This window comes from Homo sapiens, chromosome 1 (assembly GCF_000001405.40).
Source record: "Homo sapiens chromosome 1, GRCh38.p14 Primary Assembly".
NCBI classification, from domain to species: Eukaryota; Metazoa; Chordata; class Mammalia; order Primates; family Hominidae; genus Homo; species Homo sapiens.
The window spans coordinates 21,682,437-21,707,446 of NC_000001.11; the positions used below are offsets into that span (position 1 = coordinate 21,682,437).

Consider the following 25,010-nt stretch of genomic DNA (forward strand, 5'->3'; position numbering starts at 1 on the left):
TTGTTTGCTTTTTTTTTTTGCCATTATTTATAGGTTATTTTCCAGCTTTCTTATGCTTCCTATGCTATTTCCTCGACATATCTTGGTCCCAGGCTCTCATTCCTCAACTATCTGACTGCTCATATTTACTTAAGTATGAGGTACTAAAAAGATTTGTGGGCCAGGCGTAGTGGCTCACGCCTGTAATCTCAGCACACTGGGAGGCCGAGGCAGGCGGATCATGAGGTCACGAGTTCCAGAGCAGCCTGGACAACATAGTGAAACTCTGTCCCTACTAAAAATACAAAAATTAGCTGGGCATGGTGGCAGGCGCCTGTAGTCCCAGCTACTTGGGAGGCTGAGGCAGAAGAATCGCTTGAACCCAGGACGGGGAGATTGTAGTGAGCCAAGATCATGCCACTGCACTCCAGCTTGGGCAACTGTGAGACTCCATCTCAGAAAAAAAAAAAAAAAGATGTCTGAAAGCTCTGTTCAGTGGGCACTGGTGGGATTGACTAAAGGGTGCCTGGGACATGAACCAGCTTTAAAAAAAATACAAACAAGGCCAGGTGCAATAGCTCACATCTGTAATCCAAACACTTCGGGAGGCCGAGATGGGCAGATCACCTGACGACAGGAATTTGAGACCAGCCTGGCGAATATAGTGAAACCCCGTCTCTACCAAAAATACAAAAGTTAGCCAGGCATGGTGTTGCATGCCTATAGTCCCAGCTACTACTCAGGAGGCTGAGCCAGGAGAATCACTTGAAGCCCAGAGGCGGAGGTTGCAGTGAGCCATACTGCACTTCAGCCTTTTGAGACTCCATCTCAAAAAAATAAAAAATAAAAAATAAAAGCCAAACATAATATTTGTACATATTTATGGGGAACAGCTTATATTTTGATACATGCATACAGTGTATAATGATCACATCAGGGTATTTAGTTATCTCCATCACCTTGAATATTTATTATTTCTTCTTTTTTGAGACAGGGTCTCAATCTGTCACCCAGGCTTGAGTGTAGTGGCATGATGACAGCTCACTGCAGCCTCCAACTCCCCGGCTCAAGCAATCCACCCACCTCAGCCTCCCAAGTATCTGAGACCACAGGTGCGAGCCACCATGCCTGGCTCTTTTTTTAAAATTTGTAGTAGAGACAGGGTCTCACTATGTTGCCCAGGTTGGTCCTGAACTCTTGGGTTCAAGTGATCCACTGCGCCCGGCCTATCATTTCTTTGTGTTGGGAACATTGCATTATCTTTTCTTCTAGCTCTTTTGAAATATACAACATATCACCCTACTGTACTACTGAATACCAGAACTTATTCTTTCTATCAAATTGTATGTTTGTACCCATTAACCAACCTCCCTTCATATGGCCCCTTTCCCATCCACTCATAACTACCATTCTACAGCCAAAAGATCAGCTTTTTTAGCTCCTACGTATGAGTGAGAAAATACAGTATTGTCTTTCTGAGCCTGGCTTATTTCACTTAACATAATGTCCTCCAGTTCCACCCATGTTGCTGCAAATGACAGGATTTCATTTTTTTAATGGCTGAATAATAGTATCCCATTGTATGTCTACATATAAATATAACATATCAAGGCATCTACTGATGGACATGTAGGTTGATTCCATACCTTGGCTGTTGTGAACAGTGCTGCAATAAACATGAGAGTGCAAATATCCTTTCGATACACTGATTTCTTTTCCTTTGGATAAATACCACTAGTGGGATTGCTGGATCATATGGTAGTTATATTTTTAGTTTTCTGAGAAACTTCCATACTGTTTTCCATAATGGCTGTACTAATTTACATTCCCACCAAAAGTCCGTATAAGAGTTCCCTTTTCTCTGCATCCTAGTTACATGTTATTGTCTTTTTGATAATAGCCATGCTAACTGATAAGATGGTATCTCACTGTGATTTTGATTTGCATTTCCCTGATGATTAGTGATGCTGAGCATCTTTCATACACCTATTGGCCATGTTTATGTCTTCTTTTGAGAAATGTCTGTTCAGGTCCGTTGCCTACTGTTTAATGAGATTATATTTTCTCCCATTCTACAGGTTGTCTCTTCAACTCTGCAGATTATTTCCTTTGCTGTGCAGAAGCTTTTTAGTTTAATATAGTCCATTTGGTTATTTTTGGTTTTGTTCCCTGTGCTTTGAGGTCTCAGCTAAAATCTCTGTCTAGACCAATGTTTGACAGCATTTCCCCCATATTGAATTCTAGCAATTTCATAGTTTCAAGTCTTACATTTAAGTCTTTAATCCATTTTGAGTTGATTTTAATATATAGTGAGAGACAGAGGTCTAGTCTCATTTTTCTGCATATCGATATCCAGTTTTCCCAGCAAAATCTAGTGAAGAGGGTGCCCTTTCCCCAGTGTATGTTCTTGGTGCCTTTGTCATAAATTAGTTGGCTGTAAATACGTGAATTTATTTTTGGGTTCTTTATTCTGTTCCATTGTCCTATGTTTTATACCAATACCATGCTGTTTAGGTTACCATAGCTTTGTAGTATATTTTGAAACCAGGTAGCATGATGCCTCCAGCTTTGTTCTTTTTGCTGAGGATTGATTTGGCTATTCAGGGTCTTTTGTGGTTCCATATGAATTTTAGGATTGTGTTTTTCTATTTCTGTGAGGAATGTCATTGGTATTTTGATAGGAATTGCATTTAATCTGCAGGTTATTTTGGGTAATATGGTCATTTTAACAATATTAATTCTTCTGATCCATGAGCACAGGATATCTTTCCATTTGTTTGCATCTTTCAATTTCTTACATTAGTGTTTTGTAGTTTTCCTTGTAGAGGTCTTTCACCTTCTTGGTTAAATTTATTCCTAAGTATTTAATCTTATTTTTTTTTGTAGCTATTATTATTGGAATTGCTTTCTTTTCTTTTTTTTTTTTTTGAGATGGAGTCTGTCATCCAGGCTAGAGAGTGCAGTGCTGCGATCTTGGCTCACTGCATCCACTGGGTTCAAGCAATTCTCCTGCCTCAGCCTCCCTAGTAACTGGGATTACAGGCATGCGCTACTACGCCTGGTTAATTTTTGTAATTTTAGTAGAGATGGGGTTTCGCCATGTTGGCCAGGCTGGTCACAAACTCCTGACTTCAACTGCTCCACTTGCCTCACCCTCCCAAAGTGCTGGGATTACAGGCATGAGCCACTGCGCCCAGCCGCTTTCTTGATTTCTTTTTCAGCTAGTTCTTATTGATGTATAGTAATGCTGCTAATTTTTGTATGTTGATTTTTGTTAGGTAAACATGATAATCACTACACTACAGAAACTCACTTTGTACACTGATTTTTGTATCCTGCAATTTTACTGAATGTTCATCAGTTGTTTAAGAGTGTTTTGGTGGCGTCTTTAGGTTTTTCTACATATATAAGATCATGTCAGCCTGGCATGGTGGCTCATGCCTGTAATTCTAGCATTTTGGGAGGCCCAGGTGGCCAGATCACAGGGGGCCAGGAGTTCGGGACCAGCCTGGCCAATATGGGAAATCCTCATCTCTAGTAAAAATACAAAAATTAGCTGGGTGTCATGGCACATGCCTGTAGTCCCAGCTACTCAGGAGTCTGAGGCACAAGAATTGCTTGAACCCAGGAGTGGTGGCTGCAGTGAGCTGAGATGGTGCCACTGCACTCCAGTCTGGGCAACAAAGACTCTAAAAAAAAAGCATGTCATCTGCAAAGAGGGACCATTTGACTTCCTCTTTTCCAATTTTGCATGCTTTTTACTTATTTATCTTGCCTAATTGCTCTTGCTAGGACTTCCAATACTATGTTGAATAAGAGTGGTGAAAATGGCCGTCCTTGTCTATTCCAGTTCTTAGAGGAAAGGCTTTAAGCTTTTCGCCATTAGGTATGATGTCAGCTGTGGGTCTCACATATGGCCTTTATTATATTGAGGTATGTTCCTTCTGTACTTGGTTTTTTGAGAGTTTTTACCACGAAGGGATGTTGAATTTTATCAAATGCTTTTTCTTTGTCTATTAAGATGATCATATGATTTTTGTCCTTCATTCTGCTGATGTGATGTATTGGTTTGCATATGTTGAACATCCTTGCATCCCTGGGAGAAATCTCACTTGATCATACAGAACCAGACTTTTTACATCCACTGGTTATTTTCTTGACTAGTTTCCCTGGAGAGAAATCCCTTCCCACCTGGGGGAGGGTAAGTAATGGGCTGCCCGAATTTGAGCAAAGGGCTAAGAGATGGTCTCCTATTTGGTATAGGCTTCGTTCCCACCTTTCTAGTTTAATTTTTCCAAGTGTGGAAACACATAATTCTGGGTGCCCATCTGAGGTCCAGGTGGAGATGGGGAAGTGACAAGGATGTGAAAGGTAGAGAGTTGTCTAACTGCTTCTTATACAGTTTTCCAAACAAGTATCATGTTATCTTCTTTTTAGGCTCACAATTCATTCCCACCTTCAGAGGTACCTAGGCCTCTAATTTGTGTGTGCCTGTCTGGGGCACTGCAATCTGACTTAGTTTTGCTTCTTGTTGACCTCCTCCACAGGCAGAGCTCACATTTATTTCAGTTTCCTCAGGTTAGCTTTCCAAGTTTTTGTAGATATCTTTCCCTCCTTTCTATGATCTTTTAAGATAATGTATTCTACTGTAACAATATGTGGAAGCTTTTTTCAAGGTTCAAAGTAAAAGCACTGTACACTAAAGCTTCAATATCTAAAATCCCACCTCCGTCTAAAACCTAATCAGCAGATTCCTAAAACAAATTCATCTTTACCTTGCATGACATCATCCATTGCAGCATAATCTGCAATTGGTTCATCAGCCTAGAAAACAAATGAAGACAATTCAAAACCACAAGGGAGAGGGAGTCTGAAATTTGAAGTATGGCCCATGATTCAACTACTGATATTGCTATAAGACACAAACACACTGTCCAGTAGATAACTCAGTTTCAGCCACAGCCAGCAGCGTCCAGGTTTAACAGCAGATGCCCTGCTGGCTATGGGTCTAGAGTCAACACTGCAGAAGTGGTATACTGTGTGTGTGAAGAGGAAAGGCAGGGGGGACTATTTTCCCATTCTTAAAGACACCTTTAGACATGGAAATGTTTAGACACCCTGGGGTTACTAAAGACTGATTAAACCAATGTGAGCTAAGATACTCGTAGTGGCAGTGAGGGGTACAAATAAAAAGTTATACTGGTCCTCTCAGAATACCAATTAGGTTAAAATTATACTTTTGTCCCACTTCACCAGCAAGAACAAGATACCCATTTCCTTTTTAGGAGGAAGCTTATGATGTCTGAGCTTATGATAAGGTTAGCTGCAAGGATAATGAAGCCAATGACCAGTACAGACTCTAGCTGCCCATGTGAAGTACAAACCGTTCAACAATACAGGCTGTTTTAGGACTTTAGACAGGATCATTAGGATCTAGCAACTCAATGTGTTTTCAAAACCATTTCACAGAACCTATACTTCCAGGAAATGCAGAATGTTAAACAGAGGGAGGGGTTAGGTGGTGGGATGAGGGGTGTGTGTGCATGGATGGGGTAGATATGGGTCTGCCTCATCATTCCAGGGCCTAACTTTATCACACCAGAACGGGGGCTCCAAGGTTTGAAAAGCATACATTTCACAGTTCAAAATAAAAAACCTGAACAATGATTCTACCACATGATGTGGTGGTATTCGGCACAGTAGGGATTCTTTTGGCCAAGAAGAAACAAAAGAGGCAATGGGAAGCGACTAAGTTAGGCCCTTAGGGAGGGTAGAATTGGGCAAATGAGGCTGGTTCAATGACTTTTCTTTCTTTCTTTTTGAGACGGAGTCTCCCTCTGTTGCCCAGGCTGGAGTGCAGTGGCGCAATCTCGGCTCACTGCAACTTCCACCTCCCGAGTTCACGCCATTCTCCTGTCTCAGCCTCCCGAGTAGCTGGGATCACAGGTGCCCACCACCACGCTTGGCCAATTTTCTTGTATATTTAGTAGAGATGGGGTTTCACCATGCTGGCCACGCTGGTCTTGAACTCCTGACCTCATGATCCACCCACCTCAACCTCCCAAAGTGTTAGGATTACAGGGGTGAGCCACTGCGCCCAGTGAAAGTAGGGGCTTCTAAGACACTGTCAAAGAAAAGTCACTGAGGCCTGGCGCAGTGGCTCACACCTGTAATCCCAGCACTTTGGGAGGTGAGGCGGGCAGATCACCTGAGGTCAGGAGTTTGAGACCAGCTTGGCCAACACGGTGAAACCCTGTCTCTACTAAAAATACAAAAAATTGGCCGGGTGTGGTGGCACACGCCTGTAATCCCAGATACTCGGGAGGCCGCGGCAGGAGAACTGCTTGAATCTGGGAGGTGGAGGTTGCAGTGAGCCGAGATTGTGCCACTGCACTCCAGCCTGGGCAACACAGCGAGACTCCATCTCAAAAAAAAAAAAAAAAAAAAGAAGAAGCCCCTACTTTCTACATCTACTAAATCCAAAACCAATTTCCATGCCTTGGACAGAATCCCATTAAGTCGTGTATTTTGACTGTTGTGACAGAACCTTGTGTTTTACCCTTGTTTCCTAGCTTGGCTGGCTAGTCCTTTTGAACCAAAAGGAAAAGAGGAGATACTTTAATACTATGACGTATGGTTAAGTAATTCTGCTGAACCGGAAGTTAGGGAAAAAGTTACAGAGGAGGCTGAATCTACTTTTAACTAAGAAAAACTATGAAAATCTCAGCAGAGATAGATTTTAAAGTATAAAATAAGTTACTATTTGCATTGGTCACAAGTCTATCTTCTACCCATTTTTTGCTTTTTTTTTTTGTGGGGGCAGCATTTCAAATTAAGTTGCAGACATCAGTATCATTAGTGTGGTTTTAAGAACAGATCCATCTAGTCCAAAAAAAGGAAAAAAAAAAAAGCGGGGGGCGGGGGGTTGGAGGGCATTGGGGAGGGGACACCACAGAAACTTTGTGACCTGAGACCAGATCACTCAGCTTGCCCCTTTGGAATGACAGTCAATCCTCAGTGCTCAGAGGGCCACAACCCAATATCACTCCCTTCCTCCCAGTCTGAGGGGAATGAAAACTAGATCTGTATCTGGAGAAGAATGGGGGCCCTTGTGACAGAAAATCAAATGGGAAAAATCAGGCGTGGAGCTTAGCAGTTGGGTGAGTGGGATTTATACCACTGCCCTGCCCTACCAGGGAACAGGAAAGTAATGATGTACCCTGATCCCACAAAGGCATAGAAACTGATCTAGGTGATCCAGGAAAGGCCAAGGAAAGCCTTCACTTTCACCTTCTCAGGGTACCAGCAGTTGCTGATGCTGTGGCGTAACATCACCTACTATAACACACAAGAACAAGATAGATGATGTCCTGACCTCCTCTAAGTCTCCTGGGGCTCAGCCAGAGTTGGGCTGAGCTGCAAAAACCCACAGCAGTCATTTATCACTACCCTCTGCTAAAGACCCAAGGCATCCTTTAACCACCATTTCACACAGTTTACACATAGTTATGTAACATGTAAAACCTTGAGTTCTTCAGCTAAGGAGCTGTTTACTTACCTTCAATAAAATGACAGATTCAGGAATGACGCCAAGGGTGCCTAGGGTGGCACAGTCATCACTTAAAATCTTTCCATCAATTGACAAATTCTGGTCAAAAGGAGCAACTGAAAATGCATGCATGATCTGTGCCAATATAAAAGAGAGAAAGTCCGTATAATGCAAAATACTAAGACTTATACCCTATTTAAATAAATTATGCATGGATTCTTAAAAAAAAAAAAAAGGCTTCAGAGTACAAAACCACTATTGTTTACAGTCAGCCTACTTGTTATACTCCTACTGAGGCTATCGTCCCTATATATCCGGGAACATCCTTAAGAGGTCTGGTAGAGTATTAGGAAACAATTACACATATAGATGCGTTTGTTCCTTACCTTACCAGCTTCCCAAGGATGGAGGTGTGGGGAAATAAAATGAATAAAAAGTGGGGCTGGGCTGATGGCTATTCTGAGGCTTGGGCAAGGTCATCACTGTCACCTCATCTTTCCCAGGCCCCATATCCTTTCATCAACAAGTCAAGTCCAAATTCTTTCTTTTTTCTTTTTCTTTTTTTTTTGTTGTTGTTGAGACAGGGTCTCACTCTGTCACCCAGGCTGGAGTGCAGTGGCGCGATCATGGCTCATTGCAGCCTTGAACTCCCAGGCTCAAGGGATCCTCCCACCTAAGGCTTCTGAGTGGCTGAGACTACAGATGTGTGCTACCATGTCTGGCGGATTTTTTATTTTTTATTTTTGTAGACATGAGGTCTTGCTATGTTGCCCAGGCTGGTCTCGAATTCTTAGACTCAAGCAATCCTCCCAGCTTAGCCTCCCGAAGTGCAGAGATTACAGGCATGAGCCACTGCATCTGGCCCAAAATTCTTTCTTAAAACCATCTTTAAATTCTCTCTTTTGTTCTTATTCCTTTAGCAAATGGCCTGGGGTATGTAATTCAGCCTTTGGAACTGTCACATATTCTTAGACTGAGTTTTGTCTCTAGGAAGCAAAATATGAATTTCTGAAGGGTAGGGACCATATGCCCCACCCCAGTTCTGGCCAAGTGTTAAAAATTAAATACAGCCGGGTGCAGTGGCTCTCGCCTGTAATCCCAACACTTTGGGAGGCCGAGGTGGACGGATCACCTCACGTCAGGAGTTCGAGACCAGCCTGACCAACATGGTGAAACCCTGTCTCCACTAAAAATACAAAATTAGCTGAGTATGGTGGCACATGCCTGTAATCTCAGCTACTCGGGAGGCTGAGGCCAGAGAATTGCTTGAACCCAGGAGATGGAGGTTGTGGTGAGCTGAGACCACGCCATTGCACTCCAGCCTATACAACAAGAGCGAAACTCCCATCTCCAAAAAAAAAAAAAAAAAAAAAATTAAATACTTTCCAGATGAGTGTGGTGGCTCATGCTTGTAATACCAGCACTTTGAGAGGCTGAGGCAGGTGGATCACCTGAGGTCAGGAGTTCAAGACCAGCCTGGCCATCATGGCAAAACCCTATCTCTACTAAAAATACAAAAATTTAGCTGGGAATAGTGCCATGCACCTGTGATCTTAGCTACTTGGGAGGCTGAGGGAGGAGAATCACTTGAACCCAGGAAGCAGAAGTTGCAGTAAGCCGAGATTGCGCCACTGCACTCCAGTCTGGGCGAAAGAGCAAGACACTATCTCAAAAATAAATCATACATACATTCCAAAATACTGGTATACATAATATTTAAATGTTTTTACAAATTCAGAAAGGTTTGTTTTTTAAATTTTATCATTTCTGGGTCATGTTTACCTCTGGAGGGCAAGAAGAAGTTGGGCTCAGACAGGCAAACACAGGTAACCTTCAATGACACTGTTTTAATTCTTAACTCGGTAGACAAGTTCAAGAATATTCATATTAGTATGCTTTTTAACTTACCCATAAAATGCATGCTATTACATGTATCTTATATTACACCAACACCCATGATGTCATGGGAAAACCATTCTGCCCTTTCCTGCACTCTATTCTTTGGATGTGGAAAGACAAAACGAGCCTCACAAATCAACCTTGAACTGTGTGTGTAACAGGGCCCAAGAGCTTGACAGGCCAGTGTGATGGGGACCAGAAAAGTGATTTTAATAATCGCACCAAAGACAAATAAGAACAAGGATAACAGCACTGGCCTCCTCCCTAACTGCTGGGACAGAATCTTACCTGGATTTTTCAAAAGAACATCAGCGCCTGAAAAGCAGGCAGGGATGGACTAGCCAGAGATCTGTGGCTAGCAATGAAAAGTGCACTGGCATCATCAATGGTCTTCATGAAGCAATAAGCAGGAGTACTGACAGGACAGTTCTATCCAAGCCAGCTCAGCATGCAAACATCAAGCAGAGGCATATCCAGCCCTACACCAGCAAATGTTCCGGAACCATGAAGATTGAGCAGAGCTACGGTGGATGTGTGTGATGCTAACTTAACATGGATAATGTCACAGCTGCTGGACTGTAAAAATGCTTGTTCATGCCCCTAAATGCTAAGTGTTTTTGTACTACCCTATGAAACTGGACAAACAGCAAATACCTCTAGACACAAGTGCCACAACTAAGGGGCTGACGTTCACACATTATATTCTGAGAACGGACAAGGGCACTGAGATGCTGTCAACAACTAATGAAGCATTTAATAAGAAGCTACCGTGTGTCAAGTACTGTTTTAGGTGTTGATAATATAAAAGTGAATAATCCCGCCCTAGAGGGGTTTCCAGGAGTGAGGTCAAAACAAAGTTGTGAGGATGGTAGCAGAAGGTATGTGCAGGATCTAGCGAGCACAGGGGGACAGTCAGTTCCATGAAAGGGGCCAAGACAGGTTTCACAGAAGGGTCAATATGAAAGATGAACACACGCTTCTAGAGAGAAGATGGAACAGGCCAACCAAGGCAGGGAGGCCTACGGTAAAATAATCCTTAAACTCTAAGTGCTAGGAGAATGCTTCAGTATAAAGAACACGATAGAGGTCTGCTTAACAAGTAGATGTGGCATTCCTGGTCTATGGAACTTAACAGGAACCATGAAAACCCTGTTGCTATCAGGGAGTGGCTCTCCTCTGCTTGCGATGCTGTGTGGGGCTGAAAAAAGAAAATATAGAAGCGATCGCCTCAGCTGCCAGCCATTTCACTTCTGTGCCAAAATATTCTACTTTCTCAGGCAGGCAATACCACCCACCCACTAAAGATCTATCTTTGGGAAAATGAAATAATACAACTAAACACTGCACATCTTTTGAGAAAGGAAATGAACAAATTGTACTTCATTAACCTCATGGGATCAAAGGTGGATGAATTACTGATTAGACACAGCAAGCTTTGTAATGTTTCAAGCAAACCTTACAAACTCTGATGCTATCCACACTGCCAGGCAAATAGGCTCACATCTAGTTGAAGCTTCACAAGCTCCCACCACTATGTAGTGAGGGGAAAGACCTTCTACTGCCTTTTCTTTGACTCTGTTTGGCCCGCAGTGGTCCCTGAAGCAAGAGTGGGAGATGAGACAGACATTCAGGAAGAGCACCTCTGGGGGCTGTGTGAACAGCTGCCATCTTCTAGCAGCTCATTCGGGCAGGTACATGCTCTCAGATGGAAGGGTTATTTCTGCTGACTTCTGGTTTATTCTTCAAAAATTGTAGTCCATAATAAAAGCAGCACAGGCTTTTAAAAATGTCTTTAGGCACAGGGGCTCTTTCTGTAATTTAAAGGTTTTGAATGTTCGAGGTTTCCCAATGACAGGCAGAAAGCCAGTGATAGAAACAAGGTTTCTTAGATGTAAAAGGTACAATAACAGAGTAAAGATATTATGCCAACACACTTATTTTCAGAGCCATGGGTTCAACCAAGGGAAATACTGTTGTCAGGACAATCTGGAATACATAACACCCTCAAAGGAAGGCCTGTACTTTTGCCTCAATTACAATGATAAATATCAGCAACAAGAAAAATGTGTAACCAGTAAACTATGCCACATAAAAGTAGCAAAGGAGGAAATTTGGTCAACTTTTTGGATATCTATCAGTGACTGAAACAGATTAGGGGCCAGAATTTTTTATGGACATCTTGAATTTATCAGTTCCTTCTGCCTAGGGTTTGAGATTTACCACTGGAATGCTTATTTATAGTACTTCAGTATTGATACCAAGAAATAACAGTATCATGAAACCATTTCATAATGCCTGCACTACAGCCGTGGAACTGATTTGTAAAGCAATGCATGCTTTGAGGGGGATGGAGAGGACATATCTAAAATAAATCTATATAACAATTTGGAAAACATCAAGGTAAAGATAATTTTAAAACTCTATCAAGGCCGGGCGCGGTGGCTCACGCCTGTAATCTCAGCACTTTGGGAGGCTGAGGCGGGTGGAAAACGAGGTAAGGAGTTCAAGACCAGCCTGGCCAAGATGGTGAAACCCTGTCTCTACTAAAAATACAAAAATTAGCTGGGTGTGGTGGCACGCACCTGTAATCCCAGCTACTCAGGAGGCTGAGGCAGAGAACTGCTTGAACCCGGTAGGCGGAGGTTGCAGTGAGCCAAGATGGCACCACTGCACTCCAGCCTGGGTGACAGAGTGAGGCTCTGTCTCACCAAAAAAAAAAAAAAAAAAAAAAAAAAAAAAAAAAACCCCCTCTATCTATCAAATAGATTTATCTGCCACCAAAAATACTGTGACAGCCTAGTGAATAAGCAATCACTAATCGCTAATAATAAGCTGCCTTTTATCTCCCATTAAATTTCACAGCAGTTCCTGGTAACAGCCTCCAATACCTATTAAGTGGTCAAAGAAAAGCATACAGCACAATAAAGTGAGAGAACAGTTATCCTGGCACAACCTCAACATGTGACAAATTAAGTGGTTCCCAGCGTTTCTCATTATTGGAAAGCTATTGCAGAACCAGCCCAAGTTTCCAGAACCCAAAATTCACTTTCATCTTCACAAAAAGATTTTTGGCTATTTTGAAAACTTTAAGTCTTCTGGAAAAAAACACAGATACATACATATATGTAAATACAGGTGGAAAGCAGGAATTCATAAAGGCCCTTTTAAGTCCAGAGCAAACTTGAACAAATGTTTCCCTCACCTGAATTTTCAATTCTTTTAACGTCTGATTAGCAGAAACGAGAAGTGCTTTCTCACCACGAACTTTTCTATGTCGCATACTTCGGCGAATAACTTGCTTTTGATAGGCTATATAATTTTGATGGGATATCTTTTGCCGCTTTGTTCCACCATTGCTCTATAATGAAGATTGGAAATGAAGAAAGCACTGAAATTAACCACAATGTGACCCTTGCTCATGAAGTTTTTCAGGTAAACAAAAGCTGTTTCCTTATTGGTCCCTTAACTATTTGAAATTCAATGTAAACAATGAGTAGAAACTAACGAGACTTTCTTAGCAGGCTCACATAAAATTGATAAAAGAAAATAATGAGTAATACACACCTCTAAGTGCATGTAAGCAGTTTAAATGTTTGTTACAAGAGACATTTAAGGTTTGGTGAGGAGGCTCCCACCTATAATCCCAGGAGTTCAAGACCAGCCTAGGCAACATATTAAGACCCATCTCAACCAAAAATTAGCCAGGCGTGGTGGCATGAGCCTGTAGTCCCAGCTACTTGGAGGCTGAGGCAGGAGGATCATTTGAGCCCAGTGGTTCCAGGCTGCAGTGAGCTACAATCGCACCACTGGACTCCAGTCTGCTGACAGAGTGAGACTCTGTCTCTTTTATAAAAAAGACCTTACATCAGAAAAACATAATAAACTGAAAATCTTGAGGATTACAAAACTTAGTTCATGAACAACCTGAATTTTAAACATTTTCTTCTCTTCTTGAGAATGACATGGAAACTAAGTATAAACTGTTGTGAATTTAAAAATAAAATATGGAACATTAATAAAAAAAAATCAAACTTAGTTTGACTAAAAACAAGACTTTACCACTTGTCCTAATGGCAAAATATACAGACTCACTCATAAAATATTCTTGCAAAAATGTTATACTGGAATGTAATCAAACATTTACGCCCACCTTTCAATTTACAGAAATTGGAATATAGGGGATATATAAATAAATTAAAATAAGTAACATAAAGAAGCAATCAGCCAAATACAGAACATGGAACAATCTAAAAGAAATCAAACTGGTCCAAGTTCAATGTCAAGAAGGCAAAGAGCCTGGCATGGTGGCTCACGCCTGTAATCCCAACACTCTGGGAGGCCGAAGTGGGCAGATCACCTGAGGTCAGGAGTTCGAGACCAGCCTGACTAAAATGGAGAAACCCCCCTCTCTACTAAAAATGCAAAATTAGCCGGGCATGGTGGCTCATGCCTGTAATCCCAGCTACTAGGGGGCCAAGGCAGGAGAACTGCTTGAACCTGGGAGGCGGAGGCTGCGGTGAGCCGAGATTGCGCCACTGCACTCCAGCCTGGGCAACAAGAGCGAAACTCTGTCTCAAAAAGAGAAGAAGAAGGGAAAGAAAGCGGGTGCGGAGACAGAGTAACTGTTCCAAATTCTAAGTCTAAAGTGATACAAACAACACATATCCTAATTACATACTGATTTGAGAGGAAAAAACTGTTCAAGACATATCTGAGTATGGGTATTAGAGGACATTAGGGAGTTTTCGTTAGTTTTCTTATTTATGAGCACATTATTAGTATTAGGTAGGACACTGTCTTTATTTTTAGAGGGGAAATGTCATGATGGCCATGACTACCTAAAGGTGCTGTAAAAAGGATGCCCCTGGGTGTGCATGATACATGCGGTACCAGTCAAGAAAAAAATAGATGAGGACCAAATGTCCTCTACAGTACTCCTATAAATCCCTCATCAAGAGGTTAATGATCAGAGGTTAATGATCAAGATTCTTTTGCTTTTTGTACCAAAGGTGGTGGTGGTGGCCGGTGGGGGCGGTGGGGGATGGGGGGTGAGTGAGAGGCGCAGGGGAGATTCTTCTGCTAACCAGGCCAGGGAATAAAAGAAGCAGGATTTTTAAGAAAATCTTTTCCCCTGGTTTAATTAAATCTGGATGAGGTAACCTCAAGGCCCTGGCTCTGGTTTCCACAGTCGTCACTGAATGTCAGCCGTGTATAAGCAAAGTGGTTTAACGGTCATTATAGACACAGATGCCACATACTCATTACTCATGGGCTCCACAGTTTACAAAGCAGAAGGTGATCAAGACCCAAACACAGAAGAGCATTTGTTCAGGGTGCCGACCACTGGCGAGACACTGCCTGAGGATAGTTTAGCTCTAGCCCTGAATCTACATAGGCAACTGAGTGATTCTAAGATTCACGAGAAAAAGTTAAGTGCACATGTGAGTTAAAAAGAAAAAAAAAAAATGAAACCCGATGAAACATTTTTCTCAGTCTCGACTGTTGAAAGAAAAGGTCAGGCCAGGCGTGGTGGCTCATGCCTGTAATCCCAGCACTTTGGGAGGCCAAGGTGGGCGGATCACAAGGTCAGGAGATTGAGACCATCCTGGCTAACATGGTGAAACCCCGTCTCTACTAAAAATACAAAAAATTAGCCGGGCTTGGTGGTGGGCGCCTGTAGTCCCAGCTACTTGGGAGGCTGAGGCAGGAGAATGGCGTGAACCCGGGAGGCAGAGCTTGCAGTGAGCTGAGATTGCACCACTGCACTCCAGCCTGGGCAACAGGGCAAGACTCCATCTCAAAAAAAAAAAAAAAGAAAGAAAAGAAAAGGTCAAATTGAACCCAAATTCTACAATCAGGAATATAAAGAAAAATAACTACATCAACATATAATTTTATTTTAGAAGTACAAAACACAACCAAAAACCAAAACCCTGAGCATCAAGCAAGACAGATTTTTTAATAACTCTGATTTTAAATGGATCTAAAGGCTTTTCCTGGAATTATTTCTTTCTTAATCTGGAGAATTTAAATCCAACTTAACTGACAAAAAAACCCAGCCCACTGGTTTTAGAAGGCTTTCAATTACCTAAGTGATACCCAATACCGAGTATATTATTAACCTAAATTTTTAGATGAAGTCAAAGGAGTTGGGTTGATCTAGCTTAGAGAAAAGAGGAAAAGGGATTTGTTTATCTCCACTAAGGACAAGCAGAAATGCATCATTTTTTATTACAGGGATTTAAAGCAGCAATTACAGAAGCTATCTTTGTACTGAGATATGTGATGAGGAGGGTGACATTTTGAAAATGCTGAACATTTTTCAGGGACTATCTATTCTTTTCCAAAGAGGAAGGTTACACTTGAGATTTTTTGTGAGCCAAAAATTTTTTGTGAGAAAGCAAAATGTAAAACATTTTAGAGTATTACAATATCCAAAGAAGGAAAAGGAAGACAGAAGAAAATTATAAAGTATAAAAAATAATTACAGTATAAAAAGCAATGTTCCCCAACATTCTCTATCATATTTATAAACGTGAAATCTGTTGTCATCCACAACTAAGGAGAGTGATTCCACATACACTTTGAAAAAATTGCTGTGGTCATGACCACAATGAATAAAACTAGACCACCAAAAAAAAGTTAGCTTTCTAAAATCTAAATCACTTGAAAATGTAGATAGTTTCTAAATAACTCTTAGGGTGAAAAGCAAAGCTTAAAATAACAAACTAAAGACAGTAAGAACATTGTGTCAAGTTTAACAAACTAATTTACAAAGTTAACCAGAGAACAGATAATTAGTGACAGCAGGCAATAAAAGATTTGATTCCCCCATCCTGGATATCACGGTGAAACCCCGTCTCTACTAAAAAATACAAAAAATTAGCTGGGCGTGGTGGCGGGCGCCTGTAGTCCCCGTTACTGGGGAGCCTGAGGCAGGAGAATGGCTTGAACCTCGGAGGCGGAGCTTGCAGTGAGCCGAGATGGCACCACTGCACTCCAGCCTGGACGACAGAGCAATACTTGGTCTCAAAATAAAAAAATTTGATTCCCAACTGATTATTAAGCCATACTACCAAGTGATAATAACTAAAACATACGGTACTGCCAGCCAAACAGACAAAAGAGAATGGAGTCCTGAATCGGGATGGATATGTACACCCATACACCCAAATGCATGTACATGCACAGAGTCTTGCTCTGTCGCCCAAGCTGGAGTGCAGTGGCACAATCTCGGCTCACTGCAACCTCCACCTCCCAGGTTGAAGCAATTCTCATACCTCAGCCTCCCCAGTACCTGGGATTACAGGCCCACACCACCACACCTAATTTTTTTTTTTTTTTTTTTTTTTTGAGGCTGAGTCTTGCTCTGCCGCCCAGGCTGGAGTGCAGTGGCGAGATCACGGCTCACCGCAAGCTCCGCCTCCTGGGTTCACGCCATTCTCCTGCCTCAGCCTCTCGAGTAGCTGGGACTACAGGTGCCCGCCACCACGCCCGGCTAATTTTTTGTATTTTTAGTAGAGACAGGGTTTCACTGTGTTAGCCAGGATGGTCTCAATCTCCTGACCTCGTGATCTGCCCGCCTCAGCCTCCCAAAGTGCTGGAATTACAGGCATGAGCCACCGTGCCTGGCCTAATTTTTGTATTTTTATTTATTTATTTATTTTTGAGACGGAGTCTCGCTCTGTCACCCAGGCTGGAGTGCAGTGGCGTGATCTCAGCTCACTGCAAGTTCTGCCTCCTGGGTTCATGCCATTCTTCTGCCTCAGCCTCCTGAGTAGCTGGGACTACAAGTGCCCGCCACCACGCCCGGCTAATTTTTTTTGTATTTTTAGTAGAGACGGGTTTCACTATGTTGGCCAGGCTGGTGTCGAACTCTTAACCTCAAGTGATCCACCCGCCTCGGCCTTCCAAAATGCTGGAATTACAGGCGTGAGCCACTGCGCCTGGCCACACACACACACACACACTTTTAATATATCAACTGAAAAGCACACAATCGAGTTTGCACAAATGTGGCTCGAAAGATGGCTTGTATAGACCACAGAGATGTCCCCGCCACAGAGATGGGGACATGAAAACAGAGTTGACAACAGGGTAAAGGGCGGCAGCAAAGTCATGTCTGCAAACGCTTGTGGAGACATATTAGTAGAGTCAACTAATATGTCTCCACAAGCGTTTGCAGACATGACTTTGCTGCCCTTCTTTACCCTGTTCCTTATGCCAAGGAGCACAAGATGTATATATGCACACAGAGTTTAATAAGGGCATCACTTACTATAGAAAAATATCCCCTTTAAACTGAAAACCTGCATTCTCATCAAGTGTACAGATTTGGTTAGCACTGAAGCAAAGGGCCCTCCAGTGTTGACTGACTGAAATACAGACTGGGAAGGACAACTTAAAGAGTGGCTGATCACTGTCACAAACTGCATGATTTTGCTTCTTCACAGGTGTTTTGAGGTTATTTTATGAGCGCCAATAAGCCACGGAAAACAAATGCTGACATCCCTTTACACCGGTTGGGAAACCACAAGTAACATTTATTTTGGGCACACCAAGATTCAAATCAAGACGGCTTTTCAGACTCTCTCAATCAATGTTAAAAATGAAGTAACAGTATCAACATGCAGACAGGCCAACAAGCCCAGATACCTCTGCCCTGTCACAGATATTGCAGATGGCTATTGTAACACTTTCATTCTTTCAGGGAGAACACCATCCACAATTTCACTACACTATTTTAGTAGTAAAGAAAGAAAACAAACATCTCATCTGTTAAAAATAAAACTTTGAGTAGAAAATCCATGAGTTTAAAGTACAAAATATCCTCCAATGTGGGGGTCTGACTTTTTGAGAAGCTGAAACTTATCTCCACCTACATCAACCATATTCCCACGATTTCCTGTTCTCAAAAGACAATTTATGGGCCGGATGCGGTGGCTCACGCCTATAATCCCAGCACTTTGGAAGGCCAAGGCGGGAGGATCATGACATCAGGAGTTCAAGACCAGCCTAGGTGAAACCCCGTCTCCATTAAAGATACAAAAAATTAGCCAGGAGTGGTGGCGCATGCCTGTAATCCCAGCTACTTGGGAGGCTGAGGCAGGAGAATCACTTGAACCTGGGAGGTGGAGGTTGCAGCGAGCCGAGATTGTGCCACTGTACTCCAGCCTGGTTGACAAGGCTAGGATCCATCTCAAAAAAAAAAAAAAAAAAAAGGCCGGGTGCGGTGGCTCCTGCCTGTAATCTCAGCACTTTGGGAGGCTGCGGTGGGCGGATCACGAGGTCAGGAGTTCGAGACCAGCCTGGCCAACACAGTGAAACCCCGTCTCTACTAAAAATATAAAAAATTAGCCGGGTGTGGTGGTGGGCGCCTATAATCCCAGCTACTTAGGAGGCTGGGGCAGGAGAATCATTTAAACCCAGGAGGCGGACATTGTGGTGAGCTGAGATAGTGCCATTGCACTCCAGCACAGGCAACAGTGCGAGACTCCATCTCAAAAAAAAAAAAAAAAGAAAAAAAAAGAACCAATATCCCATACAGGGTACAGAGACATGGCCAGGGGCTTCGAGTGGCTGCTCTATAAGAACAGCAGAAAGTATAACAATGAAAAGCAGCTTCAACACATACTTGATTAAAATCTGGATCTTTTTCTCCATCTGGTTTAGCTTCTTCCTTGTCCTCCTCTGTTTCAGAACTACTCACATTCAGTTCCGGAGCCGAATCCTTCATCACCTGAATGTGCCAGGACAACAAAGAGAAGTAGGTCAGACCCTAGGAAGGCAGGCTATGGAGGATGTGGGGGCTGGGACCGGCAACCTTTATCAAGACGAGGAACACCTTTATCATGGTGGGATTATAGACTGGAGAGTGGATCAAGAATCAAGCCTTCACGGTTTTCTATGCTCTTTTAACATGTTAGTTTTTTACCCTATGACTTATTCTTGTAGTATTTAATGTGCTCACCATACATTTAAGAGGTCTCTGCAGAGCAGTTATTATTATCAGTCTTGTACAATGATGTTATTTTGCAGAAGTTCGAAGGTGCTTGACACCTTCCCGAGCACACTGATTGCCAAGCCTTTTCAAGTTCTCAAACTATTCAAGTGGCAGGAGTTACATGCTCTTTAAGAATTGAGAAAACGAAAGATGGAAGAAGCGCTCTCTTGCAAACACTATGAAATACTCTTATTAAACTGAATAATGAAACTACATCTAAATTGGATAATATTTTATACCAGAGAACAAAAGATTTAAGAAAATTTTACAGGGAGAAACAGAGACATTTATACTCATTAACTTCATTTTCTCGGCAAATTAGGAAATGAAGGCCTTAGTTTATTTAGCTTGTAAAGCAGAACCCTTGGCCTCCAGGGCATAATTATAAGTTACCCTTCTAAAAAATGTGTTTGGAAACAAGCATCAAATAAAATGTATTCCATTTTGTCTTTAATCCCAGAAAGCATGGAATTAAATAAATTAATAAGATATCTAGAGATATGGGTCAGGATCTACCCAAGAGCCATCCCTAATATAATAAAAATGCTTGGAAATCCAATCCAAGCAAGTATTAACACCTCCACTTCCCAAACATATCCAATCAATTTCACCTATCCTTGCAGGTCAATGGAAGAGGCTCTAACTGACCTCTCTTATTTCTGTTATGCCCTCACAGCAATTCCAAACACTATAGCCAGGGTGATTTTTTTTAAACTATAAATCAGATCATATCATGACCTTGCTTGAAACTCTCCAGGGGCTTATATCTACACTGGGAATAAACCCAAATCCTTGGTATGATGTATAAAACCTGATAGTGTATGGTCGTTCATTCCATATCATGATCCCTTCTTGGAATAAATTTCATTCTAGACCAGCAATAGCCACTAGGGTAGCCATTAGCCACATGTAGCTATTTAATTTTAAATCAACTAAAACTAAATTCCTCAGTCACGCTAGCCACATCGAATGCTCCACAGCCACACATGGCCAGTGACTACTGCAGTGCGCAGCACAGATACAGAACCTAGAACCTGTCTATCACCACAGGAAGCTCTATTGGACAGCACTGTTCTAGGTGCAATGGTTTTCACTCTGTTGCATAAGCACATTAGGCTTATCCTTTTGACCTTTGTTTCCTTTGTCTGGAAAACACTTCCCAGGCTGCATCCCTGACAGTGAGGGCTTGGGTAAAAACAACTTCTCCAAGACGCCTCTCCTGTCTACTCCCTGTCTCACACTAACCTCCACTTGACCCTGCTAAAGTTCCTTCAAAACAATCATTTCTGTGTGAAATCATATGAATTTATACTTTATTCCTGATCTTCCTCACTAGGTGCCTATAATTTTGAGAGAAGGTATTATACCTGCCTTCTTTATCACTGTATCCCCAGCACCTGGACCATTCCTGGAACACAGCTGACATTCAGTAAATATCTATGCATCAATTAATAACAAACTAAATTCTCATATAATCACATAACTGTTCATTTTCAATTATTGTCCAATTTCAATTCTGATGCCAAACAGCTCTGAAGGAACAAAAATGCAGTCCTAGGCAGACCCTCAGTGCAAATACAACAGCAAATCAAGCCAAAGAGCACGCTTGATCATTACTAGTCATTGCCACAAGAGGGACCAGTACCTTTTTATTATCCACAACTTTATGGACATAGATGGTGGCTTGAGTGTATTCACGCAGGTCCCTCTGCTGCTGACACAATAAGCCTTCTCTGCATTCTGGACAGAGTTCTTTGGGGGAAAAAAAAAAAGGGAAAACAGAAGTGGCTGAGGAATCATTGTTAAAGAATCAAAGATCTAAAAACATATGTCAAAGTTACTAGTGAATATTCATTAAACTCTTAGTAACATTTTCTTTTTTTGAGACAAGGTTTTGCTGTGTCACCCAGGCTGGGGTACAGTGGTATGAACATAGCTCACTGTAGCCTCAAGCTTCTGGGCTCAAGCCATGCTCCTGACTCAGCCTCTCAGCGAGTAGCTCAAGACTACAGATATGTGCTACATTTTTATTATTTTGTAGAGAGAAGGTCTTGTTATGTTGCTCAGGCTGGTCTGAAACTCCTGGCCTTAAGCAATCCTTCCACCCTAGTCTCTCAAAGTATTAGGATTATAGGTATGAGCTAGTGTGCTGGCCCAAACTCTTAATAATATTTTCTATTAACCACTATATTCTATTACATGCAAATGATAAGGAAATCCATTTACTGTCCATAAATAAACGTACAAATAATGGGATGATTATAATGAGAGTTTCCACCTAGGGAGTTGGGACCGCCGCATGATCTTTAACTTTAAGCAGACAACACTGACACACCCTTTCTTCTTAAAATGTCAGCTCTTAACTATAGAAACCGAAAGCAATATGAAAACTTACTGGGCTCAGAAATATACTGTGTTTCTGAAGGGTTTACATCTCCCACTTCAATTCTCGTGATTTTAATTACATGATCCACAACAAAGAGCTTTTGTATCATTTGCCACTCACTGGGCCATATGAGAGCTATACTGTGCAAAAAAAAAACACAACATGCCTTAAGACACATGGAAATTAAGAGAATTAACATAATCCATTAGTCTGCTAAACCAAAACCATTAACACTAACATTTAATCCAAAGGAATTAGAGAGAAAAGATACGTATCATCAACAAAGAATAGTTTTTCATACAAAGGAATGTTACCACAGCAGCGAAACTAAATGGACTGAAATTACATGAATCAACATGGTTAGATCTCAAAAACATAATTGAGTAAAATAAGTTAGTTGCAGAAGTATAAATACAGTATGGTGCCATTTATATAAAAAGTTTTAAATATGCAAGACATTATGTGCGTGCATTTTTTTTTTTTACAGAATACTTTCTGAGACAGATAAACTCTAAATTCAGTACAGTGGTTAGTGTGAGAGGAAGGGTGGGAGAAAGAGAAGTAGCAACAGAAGGATAAGCACTGTGGGGCCTTTAATCATATTTGAACCATTTAACTTTTAAACTGAATGGTAACACACATTTGCTTACTGGTGTATTTTCCTGGAAGTCTGACATTTGCAATAACAACGACAGGAAGAAAGGGAGGGAGGAAAGAGAAGAGAGATGCACAGCGAGAGTGAGAGAGCAACAGGGAAGGCGGGATGCAGAGAGGGAGGGAGAGAAAGAGGAGGGAGAAAATGTAGAGAATATATAAACTTTGAACTCCCTTAAATGATGTTAAAGTACTGAAATATGAATAATAAAACTCTAGCTTAACCCCAAGGGCATTTTTATTTATGTGTTCCAATTTCCTTTTCCTGATTTTCTGACAATGTTGGAAGCATTCTACCTTCTCGTATATCACGATTTTTGGTAAAATCGGGAGAAATTCACAGATGAACACCTCTGGAAGTACTTGAAGCATGGAATAAAATTTGGGTTCTAAGACCCTAGAATTCCAGATGACCAGTGCAGTGGCTTTGCTCTGCCACCCTGCTAGCCTCCTCCTTTAATTGTCTGAAGCCTGGCCATGGCAGAACAAAACCTATAACCAAGACCATGTTGATTCTGTGATTCTGGAAAAGAGGTCTCAGCACTGGTCACCAGCAGCGGGGGAAGAGAAAGGGTGGCTGTGTTGTCTTCAAGAGGGACAAGGAAAGAGCAAAAAGACAAATAGCCTCGGGCAGCCTCTTGTCTTTCCTGGAGAAGCAGTCTTCTTCTCTTTTAAAAGGGGAAAAAAAAACCCCACAATTCAGCAAAGGACTAAATTCTTAAAACAGACTATGTCAGATGAGAAATTTCCTAAACATATTTTATTAATCATCAAAAAGAGAAAAGAAGAAAAAAAAATCACATGAAGAGAAGGAACTCACAGTTTAGAATCTTCTTTGGTCATGGAAGCAAATGTAAACATGAGGCCCCCGTGGGGACACAAAAGAGCACTGTTCCCAACTGATGACACAGGGCTGCATCTTGTAGGCTTTCTACTCAAATGAGACAAGGAGGAGAAATATACCTAATTACTGCATGACGAAAGAGAAGATTTTAAAATAATTATTTCAAAATCAGAGATATATTTAAGAAAATATTAGTAATTCAATGTGTTTCTTAGGCTTATTCATTTAATTAATAGAAAAGAAAGCTTTCAGTGTATGCTGGTGAAAGTAACCATGAAGGAAGGGTACAACAAACAGAATCCACGATATCTTAAAAAATACCAGAGTCAACCAAATCAGTAACAATAAAGGAAATAAAACATATTTTGTTTCTACCTAACAAATTTCCGCCACTCTTCTACAAAGAACTGAGACACGATGTAGAGGACATCCGTATCCTAGAACACAAAAATCACAAAACAGTATCCGTCAATTCACCGCCTGCTTAACACAAATTCCTTATAATATACTTTGGTTGTCCTTATTCAAGTTTTATAAATAAAATGAAAACACAGTCCTCTACCAAAAAATAGCAGGCTGGAGTAAATCCCCTGGTTAGATAACTAAACAAATGAGAATATGAGAAGTTCTGGGTTGTTCTGAAATAGCTCACTGGGAATTTGGCAAGGGCTTTAAAAAGAAAAGATGCATTCTTTCTTTTGTGGGAATCATTATACCTCTGGCCAGTTACTGAGACACGGTCTGTTTTTATCCTGGAACAAATTTGGGAGAGAAGTCTTTTGCTCGTTTGCAATCATCTTATGTAAGGCTTCATTTTCTTCCCCTTCTCTTTCTAAAATCTGAAAGAGAATGAAGCAATCAACTGTCTCCTGCTGACAGCACATGACCTGCCTCCTCCCTACACCCCCGTCAGAAGTACAGTGTTAATTCCCCTGGGAAGTCAACCCAGGGAGGTGGCATGCCATTTCCCCAGATGTCAGTAGCGTTCAGTACCTTGCACTGTGAACAGCACTCTTTGTAACTTGGAAACTCAGGAGCCTTTGGAAAGTACTGCTGCAGTTTGCTCCAAGCCTCTTTAGAAACAAGCCTTCTTTCATTTTCAGATATGCATAACTCACCTGAGTTTAAAAAAATATATTTGGAAAAAAAAAAAACAGCTGAAAAAAAGTCATTATCTATTTCCTATTTCTTAAACTTAAGAAAAATCCACAGGTACGCTTTTCTTGCTTTGCTAAAGTTTGGTATTTCTAGCTCTCTTTTCTTGTTTTCAAAAACTTCTGAATTTCCGATTTCATTTTAATTCTAAAGGAGGTAGCCATTAACCTCAATTTTACGTCCTTAATCTAGGTCTGTGATTGAAAAAAAAATCATGAGATAAAAACAAACGTACAAAGCTAAAACCGTGCATTTTCTTTCTCCTTGCAAGGAAGGAAGTAGTCAAAAATGGGATTCCAGGAGTCCTGGGACCTCTGTGCCATGGCAAGCGCTGCTTAACAAAATTACATCTACTCCCACACTCAAAGGTTATCATTTCCTGCAGACTTTATTGCCTCCCATTTGACTAATCTTGAAATCACACTGCATTAAAATAATATTTTGTAAGCTGTGTCCAGCCATCACAAGACCACTGCCTTAAGTTATCAATTCAAAGTTATCAATTCAAACAGAAGATAAAGCAATCTACTGCTCAATCTGA

At 41.4% G+C, this 25,010-nt stretch overlaps 1 protein-coding gene across 17 annotated transcripts in view; it reads right to left on the reverse strand.

The window, feature by feature from the left end:
* Positions 1-25,010, reverse strand: part of USP48 (ubiquitin specific peptidase 48) — a 104,852-nt gene that overhangs the window by 4,139 nt on the left and 75,703 nt on the right. For 11 of the 17 annotated variants that reach the window (XM_047432030.1, NM_001350164.2, NM_001350166.2 and 8 more), the window contains 10 exons: positions 24,308-24,432; positions 24,031-24,153; positions 23,690-23,751; positions 23,291-23,401; positions 21,826-21,956; positions 21,076-21,182; positions 19,062-19,166; positions 12,630-12,785; positions 7,538-7,663; positions 4,755-4,803 (listed from right to left, as the gene is read on the reverse strand). In XM_047432030.1, coding sequence (XP_047287986.1) covers positions 4,755-4,803; positions 7,538-7,663; positions 12,630-12,785; positions 19,062-19,166; positions 21,076-21,182; positions 21,826-21,956; positions 23,291-23,401; positions 23,690-23,751; positions 24,031-24,153; positions 24,308-24,432 — 1,095 coding nt within the window. Of the gene's footprint in view, positions 1-4,754; positions 4,804-7,537; positions 7,664-12,629; positions 12,786-19,061; positions 19,167-21,075; positions 21,183-21,825; positions 21,957-23,290; positions 23,402-23,689; positions 23,752-24,030; positions 24,154-24,307; positions 24,433-25,010 lie in introns of those variants that run through there. The other 6 variants (XM_047432026.1, XM_047432031.1, XM_047432027.1 and 3 more) reach the window with 2 other exon arrangements.